General features: G+C 39.2%; 1 protein-coding gene across 37 annotated transcripts in view, besides 1 other annotated feature; it reads right to left on the bottom strand.

Annotated features, from left to right (window-relative positions):
* Positions 1 to 16,770, bottom strand: part of TANC1 (tetratricopeptide repeat, ankyrin repeat and coiled-coil containing 1) — a 264,020-nt gene that overhangs the window by 154,026 nt on the left and 93,224 nt on the right. For 25 of the 37 annotated variants that reach the window (NR_146421.2, NM_001350065.2, XM_047446111.1 and 22 more), the window contains one exon: positions 12,663 to 12,738. Coding sequence is in view for 36 of the 37 variants with exons in the window: in XM_047446111.1 (XP_047302067.1) it covers positions 12,663 to 12,738 (76 nt within the window). In the remaining variant the exon portion in view is untranslated. Of the gene's footprint in view, positions 1 to 2,105; positions 2,160 to 12,662; positions 12,739 to 16,770 lie in introns of all 37 variants that reach the window. The other 12 variants (XM_047446107.1, XM_047446108.1, XM_047446125.1 and 9 more) reach the window with 1 other exon arrangement.
* Positions 13,788 to 14,316: an enhancer, noted in NCBI's record as "NANOG-H3K27ac hESC enhancer chr2:159920830-159921358 (GRCh37/hg19 assembly coordinates)". NCBI's record gives its function as "activates a minimal SCP1, AML or CMV promoter by ChIP-STARR-seq in naive H9 embryonic stem cells {active_cell/tissue: H9 hESC(naive)}" and the evidence as "EXISTENCE:reporter gene assay evidence [ECO:0000049][PMID:30033119]".

The raw sequence follows: 16,770 nt of genomic DNA, 5'->3' as shown, positions 1-16,770 counted from the left end.
TCAGAATCTTGGAGCTAAGGATGTAGCTCTAAGAGGTTTAATCAGATTAGTAGAATCAAAACTCACAGACAAAGCAGGGAAATAAAGAGAGCTGACCTCCATGAAATATTGCTTTGTAACCTCTTAGTTTTCAACAGTGAATTTACAGAACTGATACAAAATCCTTCACTTGATCCTATAAAAAATAAAGGATGACTTACATATATCTTTTCAGGCTTTATAATTCAAAATTAAACAAGACACACATTTGCCTTGCTTAGAACTTTAGCTAGTAAGCTATCAGATGATTAACCACTTACCAAAATATTAAAATAGCTATTGAACCCAAGACAAAAATAGGTAAACAAACAGGTAGGAGAGAGTAAGAAATTTAAATTTTAATTTTTGACAAATACTGACATAACATATACTATATGCCAAGCATGGGCTTGAGCCCTTTATAAATAGTAATTCATTTAATCCTCACAAGTGAATCACAGGGCACAGAAAGGTTAAGTAATTTGCCCAAGTTCACATAGCTGATAAACTGTGGAGCCAGGATACAAACCCAGGAAGTATGGTTTCAAATAGCCCATAAACATATAAAAATGTGTTTGAGTTCATTCTAAAGAACTGCATAATTAAAAACAGACACAATTTTTGCCTCTCATGCTGGCAAAGATGAAATAGTTTGATCATAACCTAAGGATATGAAAAAACAAGTATTCTCTTATATTACTGGTGGAATTGTAAACTTACCACCTTTCAAAGGGACAATTTGACAAAACCTAGAAAAGTTTTAAATGAACAAACCTGTTACCCAACAGAATTTCTTACAACTATTCTTATGAAAGCACAGGCAGTTATGTACAAGGAGATTCACTCTAGAACTGACTTGTAATAAAAAAAATATATATAACTTAAGTGTCCATCAACAGAAGAATGAGATAAATTATAACTACCCAATGCAACACTGAGCTACTTTTTAGAAGGCTATATATCGATATGTGCCAATATGAAAAAAATGTATAAAATGCAATCATCATAGTAGTTTACAGAATAAGATGTATTATAAAGTCCATGTGGGGTTTCTTAAGGATCGATATATGTATTGATGTGTGTCCATATGCACATACATATATGCACAGAAGCACAGAAAATATCTTGAATGATCATCTAAGAAATTGTTAACATTAATTGCCTTTGGGGAGCGAAAAGAGAAGCAGAGAAGAAATAGGAATAGTGTCTGTTTTAATACCATCATATAGGTTTTGTTTTTATAATTGTGTACACTATTACATTTATGGAGTTTGAATGGCTTTACAAAAACAAGTGATTTTAGAATAGGATGGAATTAGGACAGTCTCAAGGATACCAAGCAAAACTTTGCTTTAAAATACTGAGACCCCACCTCTACAAAAAATTTAAAAGTTAGCCAGGTGTAGAGCTGCACGCCTGTAGCGCAGCAACTAGGGAGCCTGAGGTGGGAGGACTGCGTAATCCAGAAGTTAGAGGCTACAGTGAGCTATGATCGCACCACTGCACTTTAGCCTGGGTGACAAAGCAAGACCCTGTCTACTCAGTGATTCAGTCTAGATCAAGACCATGTAAGAATCTCACAAATAATCCTTCTAGGAAAAGAAAAAAAAATCTAAAGGAAAAAAAAAAACAAAATGAACGTCCCTGAAGGAAGAAATTATAAAGAAAATTTTCTATCTTCTATCTCAGGGATAGAGATATAGAGATATAACATAGAGATATGTTTTCCTTTATGTTTACTCGGTGTGAGATAATAAAGGAAGACAGCCGGAGACATAGTATAAACCACTAACGTACAAACACTACACTCTGAGTCCATCTTTGCTTTAACTAGCTATACGACTTTGGGTAGTTGCTCAATGCCTCTTTTTCCAGGTCTTCCTCAAGCAAGAAATTGAACTCAATTTCTAAGATCCTCCTAGATCTAAAACTTCAAAATGTCATTACTTTATCATAGTTTAAAAAAGAATCTCTACACATAATAATCTAAGAGCATGCAGCCATGGATAGAAGTTTGCACTTATGATTATAGCAATTTATTAAGGAAATGTTGCTGGAACTATCCCCATCTACTGTTGGGAACTTACCAGGAGTCAGGCTTCCAGCACATCTGGGTAGAGGAGGAACTTTGACATCTTTGGCTGTGCACAAAGACAGAATGTTATCAAGTACTGTGGATGGCTTGATGACTCAATGGGGTTGCTTTTATGCTTTTATTTTGGTTTCTTTATAAATTCTTGAATATAAGCCAATCAGACTAGTGGATCTCTAGCCTCAGCACAAACATGAAATGTTAACAACGCAGAGAAACTTTTACCTATAGAACATAGGCAGTTTCACCATCAGCGACTTCAGTAAAAATTCCCCAAGAAGCTTTCTGGATAAGTCATATAGAAAATTTGCATTACTATACACAACAGCCAGATTAGGAAAAGGGAAGAACAAGACTAACAAGCCCCTCACAATCCCAACAGAAAAAAACAAGTACAAGGGCATGAAAAAGACAATCATTGAAGAAGAAATGTAACAGAGCAATAAATACTGGAAGAGGTCTACCAATCTCAAAGAAATGCTAATTAAAAACAATGAAGTGCAAGTTTTAACCTATAAAAGTGACAAAGATTACTAAAACCCACAAATACCCCCTAGTAATAGGAATTGTGCAAGCAGGCACATTCACATACTGCTTACACAGGTGGCAACCAACATGAGCTTTCTAGAAAACAATTTGGCAAGAGGCACTAACAGCTTATAAAAAGTTCATTTCCTTTCCCTATTAACTCCATGCTTGAAAACATATTCTAAAATAAAATTCATACAAAGGTATGTATTTTCCAGACGGTTTTTTAAATGAAAAAAATATGGAAACAAAATGGGCCCAAATAAAACCATGGTACATTGGTACAATAAAATCTTAGGCTTTTTTTTATACAAAAAAATGACATTGTATTTAAAAAAGATAAAGCAAAAAATACAGAATATCTTGGGTTATTTGCTTGTAAGTATTATGAGTGTTTTCTATTTTCTTTTTTTTGTGGAGACAAGGTCTTACTACTCTGTCACTTGGGCTGGAGTGTGATGGTGTGATCACAGCTCACTGCAACCTCGACTTTCCAGGCTCAAGCAATCCTCCCACATCAGCCTCCTAAGTAGCTGAGACTATAGGCATGTTCCACAACACCTGGCCAGTTTTTTTTTTGTTTTTTTTTTTTAATAGACAAGGTCTCACTATGTTGCTCAGGCTGGTCTTGAACGCCTAGGCTCAAGCAATCCTCCCGCCTCAGCCTCCCAAAGTGTTGGGATTACAGGCATGAACCACTGGGCCCAGCGTATTTTTCGAATTTTGTACATTGAGTATATAAATATTAGGCATGGATTCAAATACTGATATTCTCATTTTTACTTCTCTAGTAGTTTAAAGAAAATCTTAAGTGTAATAAACATTCTAATTGATTGACTTTTTTTCTTCCTTAGTACATAAAATAATGGTGTTTCATGACCAATTCTCCAGGGTATCGTGTTTATAATAACAACATTAAAGTGCTATAGATGAATTGTGTTCCCAAAATTCCTATGTTGAAGCTCTAACTCCCAATGTGACAGTATTTGGGAGATGGGGCCTTTGGGAGACAATTAGGTTGGATGAGGTCAGATTAGATGATTGGGTTACATGAGCACATGATGAGATTAGCGCTCTTATAAGAAGAGATACCAGAAAACTTGCTATCCCTGTCTCTACCATGTGAGAACACAGGGAGAGGGCAACCCCTACAAGCACCCAACCATGCTGGCACCCTCATCTCAGACTTTCAAGCGTGCAGCATGGCGAGGGGAAATAAGTTTCTATTGTTAAAGCCACCCAGTCAATGGTGCTTTGTTACGGCAGCTCAAGCAGACTAAGACAACACGAAGATGTACTATCAAAAATCAAAATATTTTTAACATCTCGTACTTGGAAAGAAGCTTTCTAGATAAGTCATATAGAAAATTTGCTTAGTGGGGCGTGAAGAGCAAGCCCTCACAAAGAAACAATGCATTAACATAAATTCCTTAATTTTGGCAAGTGAAATAAAAACACAATCATCAGGAAGACCCTGTGTGCAGGTGGCTCTCTTCCATCCTTAACCTGGAGTCTACCTCCAGGCTCTTAGCCTCTGCTATCAGCCAGTTTCGTGATCTACAAAAACCCAGACAAGATCTCAAACCACTACAGCCACCTCCATGCATGTCTCACATCAGAGACATCATTCCTGATGACATCCCAGGGCATAAAGATCATCACCATGTACCAAATCTAGCAGTTGAAGGCTCCAAACTCCCTTAAAAATGGGCAACTCCCTGACAAACTTTAAGAGTGTGAAGAATTAAAACCAGCTGCTCAGTTGCTCGTTTTACCTTTACCCACTGCACTGTGGTCACCAGAACATAGGACAAGAACAATGGTATTTTCATGGCTGATGAGGTATAACTAGCCTGCCCCTAAAAGGACAGAGGGGAGTGGGAGAGAGAAGACACACAGATGCTGCGTTCTAACTCTGATTCTGGATGTGAATAAGGTTTCTCAATTTGATGCTGATCCAGAGCTAGGGCTACCCAGCTGGTCACCTGATGGCCACCCTCATTAACTGCAAGACAACTGGTTGGTAAACACACCATCCCCTTAAGACTCTTATGAGGAATACTCAGTTTGGATCACCAGCCACGAAATAAAAGCCAATCTACTTCAGAATCCTTTGTAGCCCGTCTCCCCACTCAGGAACTACACTTGCCAGTAGATTATATGAAATCAAGTTTTTTACATTCCTGTAGGATAGAAATAAAACCTTAGAATTCCCCTTCTAGGAAGTGCAAATAGAAAACATGGAAAAGCAAAGATGAAACTTTTTATGGGAATTAAGTTACATATACATGGAACTTTCTGAAAACTAAGTCTGTACAAAATAAGACCTTTGTGTTTTACAGAGGAGTTTTAATAAAAATTTGTGAAATAAAATTAGATTTGATAATTTAAAAATGAACTCGGAATTGCTCATTTGCCTACTACTGATCTAGCTTCCTATGGCATTTATACATACACATACAAAAAGCAGCTCAAGTAAAGAAGCATTGTTTGAGAGTTTTATCACATGCTTTATGATGATTCAGATAGGTGGTGCCTTGCTGGAGATCTTATGCCACAAAAAGGTCTTATTAGTCCAGGGTGACTGACTTCCCTTTCCTCTGGGGTCCAGAGCTTTCTCCAAGTATGCCCCCCACCAGGAAAACAGGCAGTTCAGCATGAAACCAGCTTGGGCCTTACATGTAGGTGCCTAATGATAAACGGTAGATATCTGTTCCCTACTTCCCCTAACTCTTTCATCCTTTATATTTCCCTAAAACACATGGAAAAGCTATGAAGAGGTCGGGGGACAAGGGCCCTCCATATATAAAGACCTTCATTCACAAAGGATGTGTTGAGATAACATTTTATAAACTGTACTTAGAAATCTATTCTCGAAACTGCTTGCCAACTCCCGAAATCCCTTTAAGCAAGGAGAAAAGCCTTTCAGTTTAACTTCATAAAGAGAAAACCATAAAATGCAAGTACTTCATAGAGGTTAAAAGGTAAAATACATTATTTTGAAAGCATAAACCACCACAGGGCAGACAAATGACTCAGAGCTTCCCCAGTTTTGTTATAGGGGAAAGGCTGAAGCTGGGAGAAGAGCCTTTAGTATCCAGAGGAGATGCCAGAATATTTGGGAATAGGAAGTCATGGAAAGAAGCTTCTAGAACATCACTCTTCATCTGAGATCAGTCCTGTCTTCTCCATAACAGAAAAGGAACAAGAAGCTTTTTTTTTTTTAATTATTATACTTTAAGTTTTAGGGTACATGTGCACAACGTGCAGGTTAGTTACATATGTATCCATGTGCCATGTTGGTGTGCTGCACCCATTAACTCGTCCTTTAACATTAGGTATATCTTTTATTTATATATTTTTAAGGGTTTTGTTAGTTCTTTAAGGTATCACACAGTTTTCTCAAGAAAGAAAAGATGTACTGGATATCTAGCAGAGGCCAAATGTCAAGCTAAAACACTTTTGCAGAAAGGTATTCGTATTCAACCCTGACAATACAACTATAAGGTAGTTTAATCAAGGTTAAGAAAATATGTCCAAATTCAAGTTAAATAGGAGGTGATCGAGCAGGGATGTGAGTCTGTGTCCTCTAATTTCAAAGTCCATGCTTTTTCTTGACTTTGTGACATACATGAGGGACAACAAAGAAAATCTGATGAAGGAACCTATCAAACCAGAGGGAACAACCAGCATTCCTGCTCCTATTAAAAATCAGGCTGGGCACAGTGGCTCACGCCTGTAATCCCAGCACTCTGTGAGGCTGAGGTGGGCAGATCACCTGAGGTTAGGATTTTGAGACCAGCCCGGCCAACATGGCAAAACCCCACCTCTACTAAAAATACGAAAATTAGCTGGGTGTGGTGGCACATGCCTGTAATCCCAGGTACTTGGGAGGCTTGGGCAGGAAAATCGCTTGAACCTAGGAGGCTGAGGTTGCAATGATCCAAGATGGCACCCACTGCACTCCAGCCCAGGCAACAGAGCCGAGACTTCATCTCAAAAAACAAAAAACAAAACAAAAAAACACAGAAGTCCCATTCTATGTTTAAATCATGTTCTAACATTTTGCAGAATTTGTTTAAATGCCCCAGTAAAGAAAAATACAATACCTTTATACTGAATTATTTCTGCTTGTTTTGTTGCTTGGGAAACACTTTTGGAGAATGTTAACAAGAAGATACCAAATATCCATAGCTCAGCAAGAGAGTCACTGCACTAAATTCCTAAATAGTCCACAACCACAGAAAACGGGCAGTGGCAGCACAGAATAATCAAAAGCAGCTTCGTATTTTCTACATAAAACAAAGCATCATTTGTATTGAGGCATGTTTAGAAGGTACCACTGAAAGCCAGGCTGCAGCCTGGAATGGCTTAAAATACCAAGTTTAACAATCACATCAATGGCTTTTAAACTTTAGAGGCAAACAGCTTCCTTCTACTTGAAATTCAAAGTGAAGAATTAGATGCAAAGCTAATAGATTAATTCAGTACACACACAGGCTTAGAGACTATCCAATGCCTTAATTAACATCATTACAAGTGTATTTAGCCAACCACCTGGGTTTTAATGAGAGAAAGGTAAAGGTCAAAAAAAAATTTTTTTTTAACAAGTTGCTTCAAACTAAGTCCCCCTACTGGGGAAAAATAAAGCACAAATAATTTAACTACAAATAAAAGACTTAACATAAACAGTTTTTATTTTGGCACATTAAGGAACTATTCCTTAATCAGTCTATATTTTTTCTGTATTTTAATTGAGGCAGTACTGCAATTAAAAGTTCACTGAACTTTGCTGTTCTGCCTCAGCTTGAACCTACTTCCTCACCAATACTGAACAACTAGGAGAATTACAGCGGGCAAAACACTACAGATTGAAGACTGGTGGAAGGCAGAAGGGACAGAAGTAGACAGGGACCAGCCTTCTCTAGAGAGCAAGAGGCCTTGACCACCTAATGCTTCCAGAGTAAGGACAAAATCTCCAGGGTTTAAAGAAAGAACAGAAACACTACCAACTGTGAGCTTTAATTACATCATAGATGTTAGATCAAATTATGTTTCATTTCTTGGAGACCAGTAGAAAAAAAAATATTAGCTGAGCCATTTACTCGCTATGTGGTAGTAACAGCTACCATAATGAGCTGCAATTAGATATCTGTGCTTCCTTAGTTTTTGAAGGGGAGGGAACCTGCCCAATGTCTATGACTGAAGAATCCTCCACAATGCATATGGTGGTGGATAGTAAAGTCCATCTTGTACAAATCTTAGCCAAGAAGTCCAAACACACTCTTCCGGGCTCTCTCATGCAGCTAGATCCGAGGCACGTGAACCAGGTTCGGCCATTTATATGCACCTGCCTCACATTTTCAAATTGTCCTTGATTTTCCTTTAAGCACTTTCTCTTCCAGATGGATTTTTGAATCAATTTTGTAGTGTTTTAAAAAAACACACAGGATTTTTAGAGCCATGAAACTACTCTGTGATACAACAATGGTAGATATGTCATTACACGTTTGTTCAAACCCACAGAATACACAATATCAAGAGTGAACCTGATGTAACCTATGGACTTTGGGTGATAATAATGTGTCAATGTAGGTTCATCAGTTGTAACAAATGCACAACTCTGGTGGAAAATGTTGATAATGGTGGAAGCTATGCGTGTGTGGGGGAAAATCTCTGAACCTTCCTCCCAATTTTGGCTGTGAACCTAAAACCACTCAAAAAAAAAAAAGTCTTCTTTAAAAATTGGGGATTTCATTAGGGATTAAATGGAATGTCTACATAATTATGGAGGAGCTAGATGGTTTAAAATAATGAATCAGGTTATTCAGAAAAACAGTATTTCCTTCTACTTATTCAGGTCTTCCTTTAAGTCCTTCAATAAAGTTTTATTTTCTTTAATGTGAGGCTGCATAGCCAGTCACAGTGGTTCACGCTTGTAATCCCAGCACTTTGGGAGGCCAAAGTGGGTGCATTGTGTAGGCCCAGGAGTTTGAAACCAGCCTGGGCAACATGGCGGAAACCCCATCTCTATTAAAAAAAACAACAACAGCAACAAAACCCCACAAAAATTAGCCAGGCATGGTAGCGTGGTGGCTACTCAGGAGGCTGAGGTGGGAGAATTACTTGAGCCTGAGAGGTCAAGGATGCAGTGAGCCGAGATCACGCCACTGCACTCCAGCCTGGGTGACTCAGCAAAACCCTGTCTCAAAAAAAAAAAAAAAAAAAAAGCTTGCACATATTTCTTCTTAGGTTGATAAAGTTTTTGTTCTATTGTAAAATGGGACTTTTTTTCCTATTCATTTTCCAAACAGTGTTGCTGTACAAAAAGATACTAACTTCCAGTGTGGCTCTTATATCTACTGTAAACTCCTACTAGGTCCAGATTTAATATCACAATACTCTTAATCTTAAGAGTCTAGTAATTATTTAATTTTTAAAACTAAGTAACTGTTTAATAGTAGTAATATGAATGTTTTCTGATAGTAAAGGTCACTTAAAATTAAGAAACGTGGTAAAGGTTGTAGGCCTCTCTGGAGAGCTTCAAAAATAAACACAGTGCCTCGTTTGCTTATTTTAGATCAAGGTCCTAACATAAAGCAGGGAGAGGAAAAAAAATAAGATGCCCTCATCTGGCCTTCTCCCTGTATTATGGTTTAATACTGATTTTTGCTCCCTTAGGCCAAACTCAAGGTCAAGAAAAATATAGTGCTCATTTGCACTGATGGAACAGCAGGAACAAGGTGAATATGCTCTCTAAAAAAACATGGTAAAGTTTTAAAAATTACATTCTCCACCGTGCCTCTATTGCCTTCTGAAAACACTTTTTGCCCAGCTATAAGCATTTCCTAGGTAAAAATGCATAATCACAAAAAAGAGAGGAATTCTGCTATTTTGAGTTTACTCGATGATTTTCAATAGTTTAAGTTTCACTGTACATAATATTGCAAATATCCGCTGGGCGCAGTGGCTCATATTTGTAATCCTAGCACTTTGCGAGGCCGAGGCGAGTGGATCACTTGAGGTCAGGAGTTCAAGACCAGCCTGGCCAACATGGAGAAACCCCCATGTCTACCAAAAATACAAAAATTAGCCAGGCGTGGTGGCACGGGCCTATAATCCCAACTACTCGGGAGGCTGAGGCAGGAGAATTGCTTGAACCCAGGAGGCGGAGGTTGCAGTGAGTGGAGATGGTGCACAACTGCACTCCAGCCTGGGTAACAGAGTCTGTCTGTCTCAAAAGACACAGGCTGTCTCAAAAGAATAAGAACCAACAAACATAATATTGCAAATATCCTTATATACATATAGTTTGAATTCAATACCTGCTAAAGTTTTACCTATAGATATAGGTGATAACTTTTTTTTAGGGATAAATGAGGGAATAACAACTGTTCAACGCTTCTGAAAAATATTTGGTTTCCATTGAAGGATACTAAGTTTATCTCAGTTACTGCATTTTTCCAAATTCTCAAAATAGGTTTAACATAAAAGTGTAGTAAAAGATTGCCTGCAAAAACAACCTATAAAGGACATGAAAAGCTGAACTCAAGTTTTTAGACATGTCTCCTAAATTTCTATGATTATGAGTTCAAGTACATGGGAATGAATTTTCTTATGTCTTTGCAACAAAGATTGGTTTTAATTGGAAACAGTACAGCAAAATTTTTCCATATTGCAGGAGATATTACCTAAGTTTCAGAGCAGTCTTGGTAGACTAGCCAGCTTTAATTTATAGAAAATCTTAGCTATGATTTACTTATATAATGAGGACTGGCATGGACTCAACATATGAGTGGTCAAATTCCAAGTATTTCCCCCAACAATCCTGTGATATAACTTCATCAGGATTTAAAATTCCATCTGCTTTGTTGCTAGCCTAATACAACCAGGTTATAGTTAAGAGCAAAAAGGCACATACCATGCAGATATTTTATGGGAAACGTTCCCATTGGTCTTTCAAGTTGGTTTGTATTAGTGAAAAAGCCAGTGTGGAAATTATTATGAAGAAATGATTCAGAAAAAGCAATAGTTGCTTTTAAAGACCAAAGGGAGAAATAAACCCAAAATCACATGCTCTGAAACTGGAAAAGTTTCAAATGCAAATTATGTTCCTGTCTGGTGTGTCTGAAAGACATGGGTGCTGAAGATTATTAATATATTGCTATTTCTTCTAAGTATGGCACTGGTCAAAGAGGATGGTAGGCCTGTTTTGAAGAACTGTTACCGACTGGTGAGTTTAGGCTTGGGGACCCTGGTCCTGAGAAAAATAACCCACTGGTTGGCAGTTCCACCCCAACAGACAGCTTAGGAGGTAACTTTATGCTGGAAATTACAAAGGCTTCTAAAGAAGCAAATAAAGTTCCCATGATTGGTGACAGATGAGCCAAAACTGAAAAAGTTTTTTGTTGTTATTATTTTTAAACAGCTTTCAGAAAACTAACAAGAAAGACATTTTGGTCTTGACCCAGCAGAGGGTGAATGTCCCCCTGGATGGAAATTCTGTGAACGAAATTTCTCCAGAGTAACAATTCTAATCAATTATTCAAAGCCAGGGGTTGATTTTCTAAGGTTAACTATGGTCTCCTGTTTAGGTCATTAAAAACTGGTTTCTCCTTTTCTTTGGTGTCTGCTCACCCAGGCATTGATGAGAAGCTTTAACAGCAGCCTTGCAATAAAGGCTCTACTTTTAAGGTGAGTTTGTCATTTTGCAGACTTGGTTTAAGGGATAATTAGCAATAAAAATAAATTTTGTCTAGGTTCTATATAACCAAAAACGTTAGAAATCCACTTATTCTCTTATATAAGTATGGAAACAACAGACATTAATATTATCACAAGGCATTGCAAGATCTTTTGAATTAAAGAGTTAACCATAATTTTATGATGCTTTAGTAATAAACATACTTCTTAAAACAGAAATTAAAACTGAAACATTATTTGACATAGTAACTCAGAAAACCAGTCATTCTCCAAGGAGACTGGATTAACATGGGTTTACAGAGTGAAATGTAACATTTCAGGCAAGTCAATTCATGCTAACATATTTTTATTGTGCAATACAGGTAGACAATATATAGTTTTTCTAGCGAGAGAAAAATGGTGTACCAGTGAGTATTCACCAAAATAATCCTAGAATAGGTTAGCACAAGGAATGTAATGCTATTAAAGTCACAGTGACAATATGCACCAGAACTCTACAAACAAGAATGAAATTCAAGCCAAATTAAGTAGTTCTCATTATAATGAAAACAAGCAGTCTGGCATTAAGTGGGGCTCCACCTGTTAGGAGTAAAATTTGATACTCCAAAAGATGAGGACCAGTCAGCCAGCAGTTGGTCAAACACATAAAATGTAATCATGTGGGAAAGGGAATGGGATTTCTAGAAACTAAATTCCTGAACACACCTGCTATCCCTCAATGTCTTTAACTTTGACTCCCTCCAGATCTGAATGACCTATTAAAATTATGAACCTTTAAAGTTTCTGGGAAAGGATTTGGTTATAACCCAAACTCAATTCTCAAAGTCACTTCTTATAATAAAGTTCAAAATTATGTTTCCTGTCCTTTTTCTTTTTTAAGAGACAGGGTCTGGCTCTGTTGCCCAGGCTGGAGTACAGTGGCTTTATCATAGCTCACTGCAGCCTTGAACTCCTGGGCTCAAGAGATCCTCCTGCCAGAGCCTCCCAAGTAGCTAGGATTTACAAGTATGTGCCACCATACCCGGATAATTTTTTAAAATTTTTTTGTAGAGGAAAGTGTCTCTTTATGTTGCCCAGGCTGGTCCTGGAACTCCTAGCCTCAAGCAATCCTCCTGCCTTGGCCTCTCAAAATGCTGGGATTACAGGTGTGGGTCACCATGTCTGGCCTATTTCATTTCTCATAGCCTCCAGCACACTGTTTGTTCTAACCCAGGTAACCCTCTCTGACCCACTCCCAAAGCAACAAATCCATCCGGCCTGGGGTGAGGAGCAGCTTGCTGCCCGCTGTCCATGGCTGAGCTTCTCATTCTTGCACACATACCTGCTTCCTTCTTGCCTCCCTTTCCTCCCTCTCGGCTCTTCTTCAGCACAGCCTTTAACATTTTCAACACTTGTTTCTAAGGAGAAAAGAAACAGAGAGAAGAGGAATTAAACATTGAAAGTTGGAATATAACTTGTGTCTTGACAAAAGAGGTAACTTGTGTTCAAACAAACAGACCGCTTAATATTAAGGTACCCTAAGCCTTACATTAATTTTCTTTGAATAAACTATGGTGGGAAACTAAATGCTGAAGACACAAGGAATGTTCTATAACTTTTAATGAAGTGCTCAGAAGTTCACTGTTGTTAGAAAAGCTAAAAAAAAAAAAAAACAATAGTGCATTCTCAGCATTCCACATCTAATTAAGGTTATGAGGCTAAACCTGGGTACAGTACTGCAAGATATTTGGCACAGTTTCCCAATCCCAGTTCATCAAAAGGCGGCACTAGAACATGAAATCAAAAAGATAATGAAAGAAGCTACATGGTTAAAGGCAATGTTTTACAGGTGTTACTAATTATATAATCACAAGGAAAACATTTTGGAAGGTTATGAAATGAGGCATATCTTATAAACATTTGCAAAATAAATACAGTGGGAACACATTTTAACCCTGATCAGAGAACCCAATTAAACAGCACACACCACAGTGGGTTTTTACAATATATAGGAAGTTATAACTTTGGGGTGGGGAAGGGAAGTAAGTAGAACAGGCCTGTGGCACTACGGCCAGATCCTTTAAAGAAAAGGCTGTATCTTTAAGCAGGGTTGTACTGAGCTTGTAAAAACACAATGGCCCAGGTCTAAGATGAAACATGAAACCATCTCTACAGCAAGAGACAGACAAAAGGACCATTATTTCATCATGAAGCCAGTCTCCTTTAAGCTCTCTCTCCCCACTGCTAACTCAGATGAGATGGCTGAACAACCCCAGATGGTAACCAATCTTAGTGGGTTGTGTTACCATCACACCTTTATTAATGCACTAAGGGAAGTAGAAGGCAAGCAGGTCTCTATTGAACAGGCAAGAAAAGGGGTGGGGAGGGGAGGAATGAGGACGGGGAAGGGAGCAGAGGAAGGGAGGCAAGGAGGGAGAAACTCCTATGTAGGAGGGCTCCCACATCTGCCTAGTTAGCACAAATGCCTCAAATGGCCTCAGTGTAACACACCACACACCACCTCTCAGCCCCCAGAGTAAGCAGAAGTTTTGTGGCACCCGTTGAGAAGGGTAAGGAATCCCAATGTGTTGCCATTCATAGAATCACACAACATAAAAAGGCAGGGTGACCTTTCTTATCATTTGGTCCAAGCCTGTATTTGTTTTCCCAAGCCTTTTGTTTTACTGATGAAGAAACAGAGACCCAGGGAGGCTGGCTTGCCAGGGGTCACGAAGCTAATTAACAGCAGGGCCAGAATCCAAATCTGCAGCAGCCCAGCAGGACCACCTTCCTCCCCTCCACCAGGCCGGTCTCTCCTCACAGATCAATGAAAGCTTTGGGCAACAACAATCAAACAAAACTGAGTGATACTAGAAAGATAGTATCTTAGGCAGAATTTGGAAAAAGCCATACTGAAGGTTATCGGAGTAAAATCATCTTACACACAAGTTTTACATACTGAAGGGGCATGGCTTAGAGCCTAATTCTGTTTTTGAAAATGCTGCTTGAATAAACCCTGGTGAAAAAATTTAGGTTTCACCTAAAGGGCAAACACTAAAGTTGGAAGGCAGCAATAGTTTCCATATGGAACCGATGGAAAACACAAACTTCTCTTAACAAGCACACTTCAGAGAAACAATGAAAAACACTGTAGTATAAAAAAATGGTAGTAAAAGTTAATAATAAATAGATAGGTAAACACAGACATATTCTTCAACCAACCAACTTTGGGGTTTATAATTTAGCAAAAACTACCTAAAAAATAAGAGAAAAATACTGACAGAGCCATGCCACCGAAGCTCATGCAAGGTCCCTTGCACCAAGCCTTGGTGAACTCTTCCAGAGCCGTGTGTTTACCTGGATCATTGACCAAGCTCAGGCCCCACCACATCCATGAGCTGCTCCCGATTAATCACCCAGGTCATCACCAGTTGGCAGTACACCTACCAGGCCACTCAGAATAGGCATCACACGGGGCAAGGACTAGGTGACACTGACTCTGGTATCTCATCCCAGACACCCTGTTTTCCTATTTTGGGGCACTCAGCTATTTTCAGGATAGACATACCTTCCACATCAGTGGTCTTAAGTGAAAGAGGCTATCAAATATCTGCTATAGTATTTCTTCCAGTTCCTGTTTTCCTCCATAAATAGCAACTCGAGGTAAATAGCTTAAATTTTATATTCTTAAAAAAGCTATTCAAACTGCGACCTGGAGCAACTTTAACTGATTATACCTGAGTGCAAAAATAAGGAACCATCCTCCCCTCCCCCAGACTGGAAAGGAAAAAAGTAAGTCTTCCCAGCAAGTTAAATTCTGAAACTAACACAGATCAGAGTGGAGCTATACAAAGTCACCTGGAAGTTTCAATCGTCTCTGGCCTTAAACCCATAACTGGAACTTAACAGTCACCAATGGACATACAGGCTATGCCCACTGAAAGGGGGATGGTCACAAATAGCATTTATAGGAATAGACCCTAGGGGCCAATAATGACAGTACACTCCAGAGAAGACTATCTGGTATCTGCACACTTATAAACACATACCCCTATATCCAATTCTGGAAATGGACACATTGGGCTGTTGGAGCTAGGTGCTGTCACACATTGGCATGATACAACTACTTCTTGTTCTGGTTCTGTTCACACTGAGAGACACCTCGTAATTTGGCTCCTTTCTTAGTCTGCAAATAGTAGGGAGAGAGTGTGCTGGTCCAGTTCACACAACTGTCTGGCTTGCTGACAGACAATTCTGAGAATAAATTAACAAATCGGTACTCCAGCTTTAAACAAAAGCTCTCATGAGCTTTGCTTTCTTTTTTTTTTTTTTTTTTTTTTGAGACGGAGTCTCGCTCTGTCGCCCAGGCCGGACTGCGGACTGCAGTGGTGCAATCTCGGCTCACTGCAAGCTCCGCTTCCCGGGTTCACGCCATTCTCCTGCCTCAGCCTCCTGAGTAGCTGGGACTACAGGCACCCACCACCGCGCCCGGCTAATTTTTTGTATTTTTAGTAGAGACGGGGTTTCACCTTGTTAGCCAGGATGGTCTCGATCTCCTGACCTCATGATCCACCCGCCTCGGCCTCCCAAAGTGCTGGGATTACAGGCGTGAGCCACCGCGCCCGGCCGAGCTTTGCTTTCTTAAAGGGAGTCACTTTGCCCAGTCTCATCCATTTAAGACATGGAGAATATTGAGTTTCTGAGGACCAAAGAGAAGGCAGTGGTAAATTCCTCAATGGAAATGGCACCTTGAAGCCCACCTGTGTAGGCAGCCAGCAGGCTCTCCTCTTCTGCATCATCACACTTCCCTTCCAGTAGCAACTTCAACTACTGTCATTTTTCCCCTAAAAGGGTGAACACTGAGCTGTCATGCACTTGAACCAAATAGAAATGATGCAAACCAGCCTTTCTGACACAGTAATTCAGACTCAGCAGATTAAATGACAAGCCCAACATACTGTATGGTAAGGAAGTACTTATGGATAAGTATCATAGGATAAAACATAAGAAATAATGTTCTTTTTTACTATATGTGTATGTGTGTGGTTTTTGTTTTGTTTTTTGTTTGTTTGTTTTGAGAAGGAGTCTCACTTTATTGCCCAGGCTGGAATGCAGTGGCACAATCTCAGCTCACTGCAACCTCCACCTCCTGGGTTCAAGCAATTTTCTTGCCTCAGCCTCCTGAGTAGCTGTGATTACAGGCACCCACCACCACACCCAGCTAATTTTTGTATTTTTAGTAGAGACGGGGTTTCACCATGTTGGCCAGGCTGGTCTCAAACTCCTGACCTCAGGTGATCTGCCTGCCTTGGCCTCCCAAAGTGCTGGGATTACAGGTGTGAACTACCACGCCCGGCCTACTTTATATTATAGACCAAAGGCACAGGTATAACTCAAATACTGACCAAACAATCCCTCAAGTTCTGCCCCATAAAACCTTAGCCTCTATG

This window comes from Homo sapiens, chromosome 2 (assembly GCF_000001405.40).
Source record: "Homo sapiens chromosome 2, GRCh38.p14 Primary Assembly".
In the NCBI taxonomy this organism is placed as follows: Eukaryota; Metazoa; Chordata; class Mammalia; order Primates; family Hominidae; genus Homo; species Homo sapiens.
Note: the sequence above shows the minus strand (reverse complement) of the source record. Positions and strands in the feature narration are given on the sequence as shown.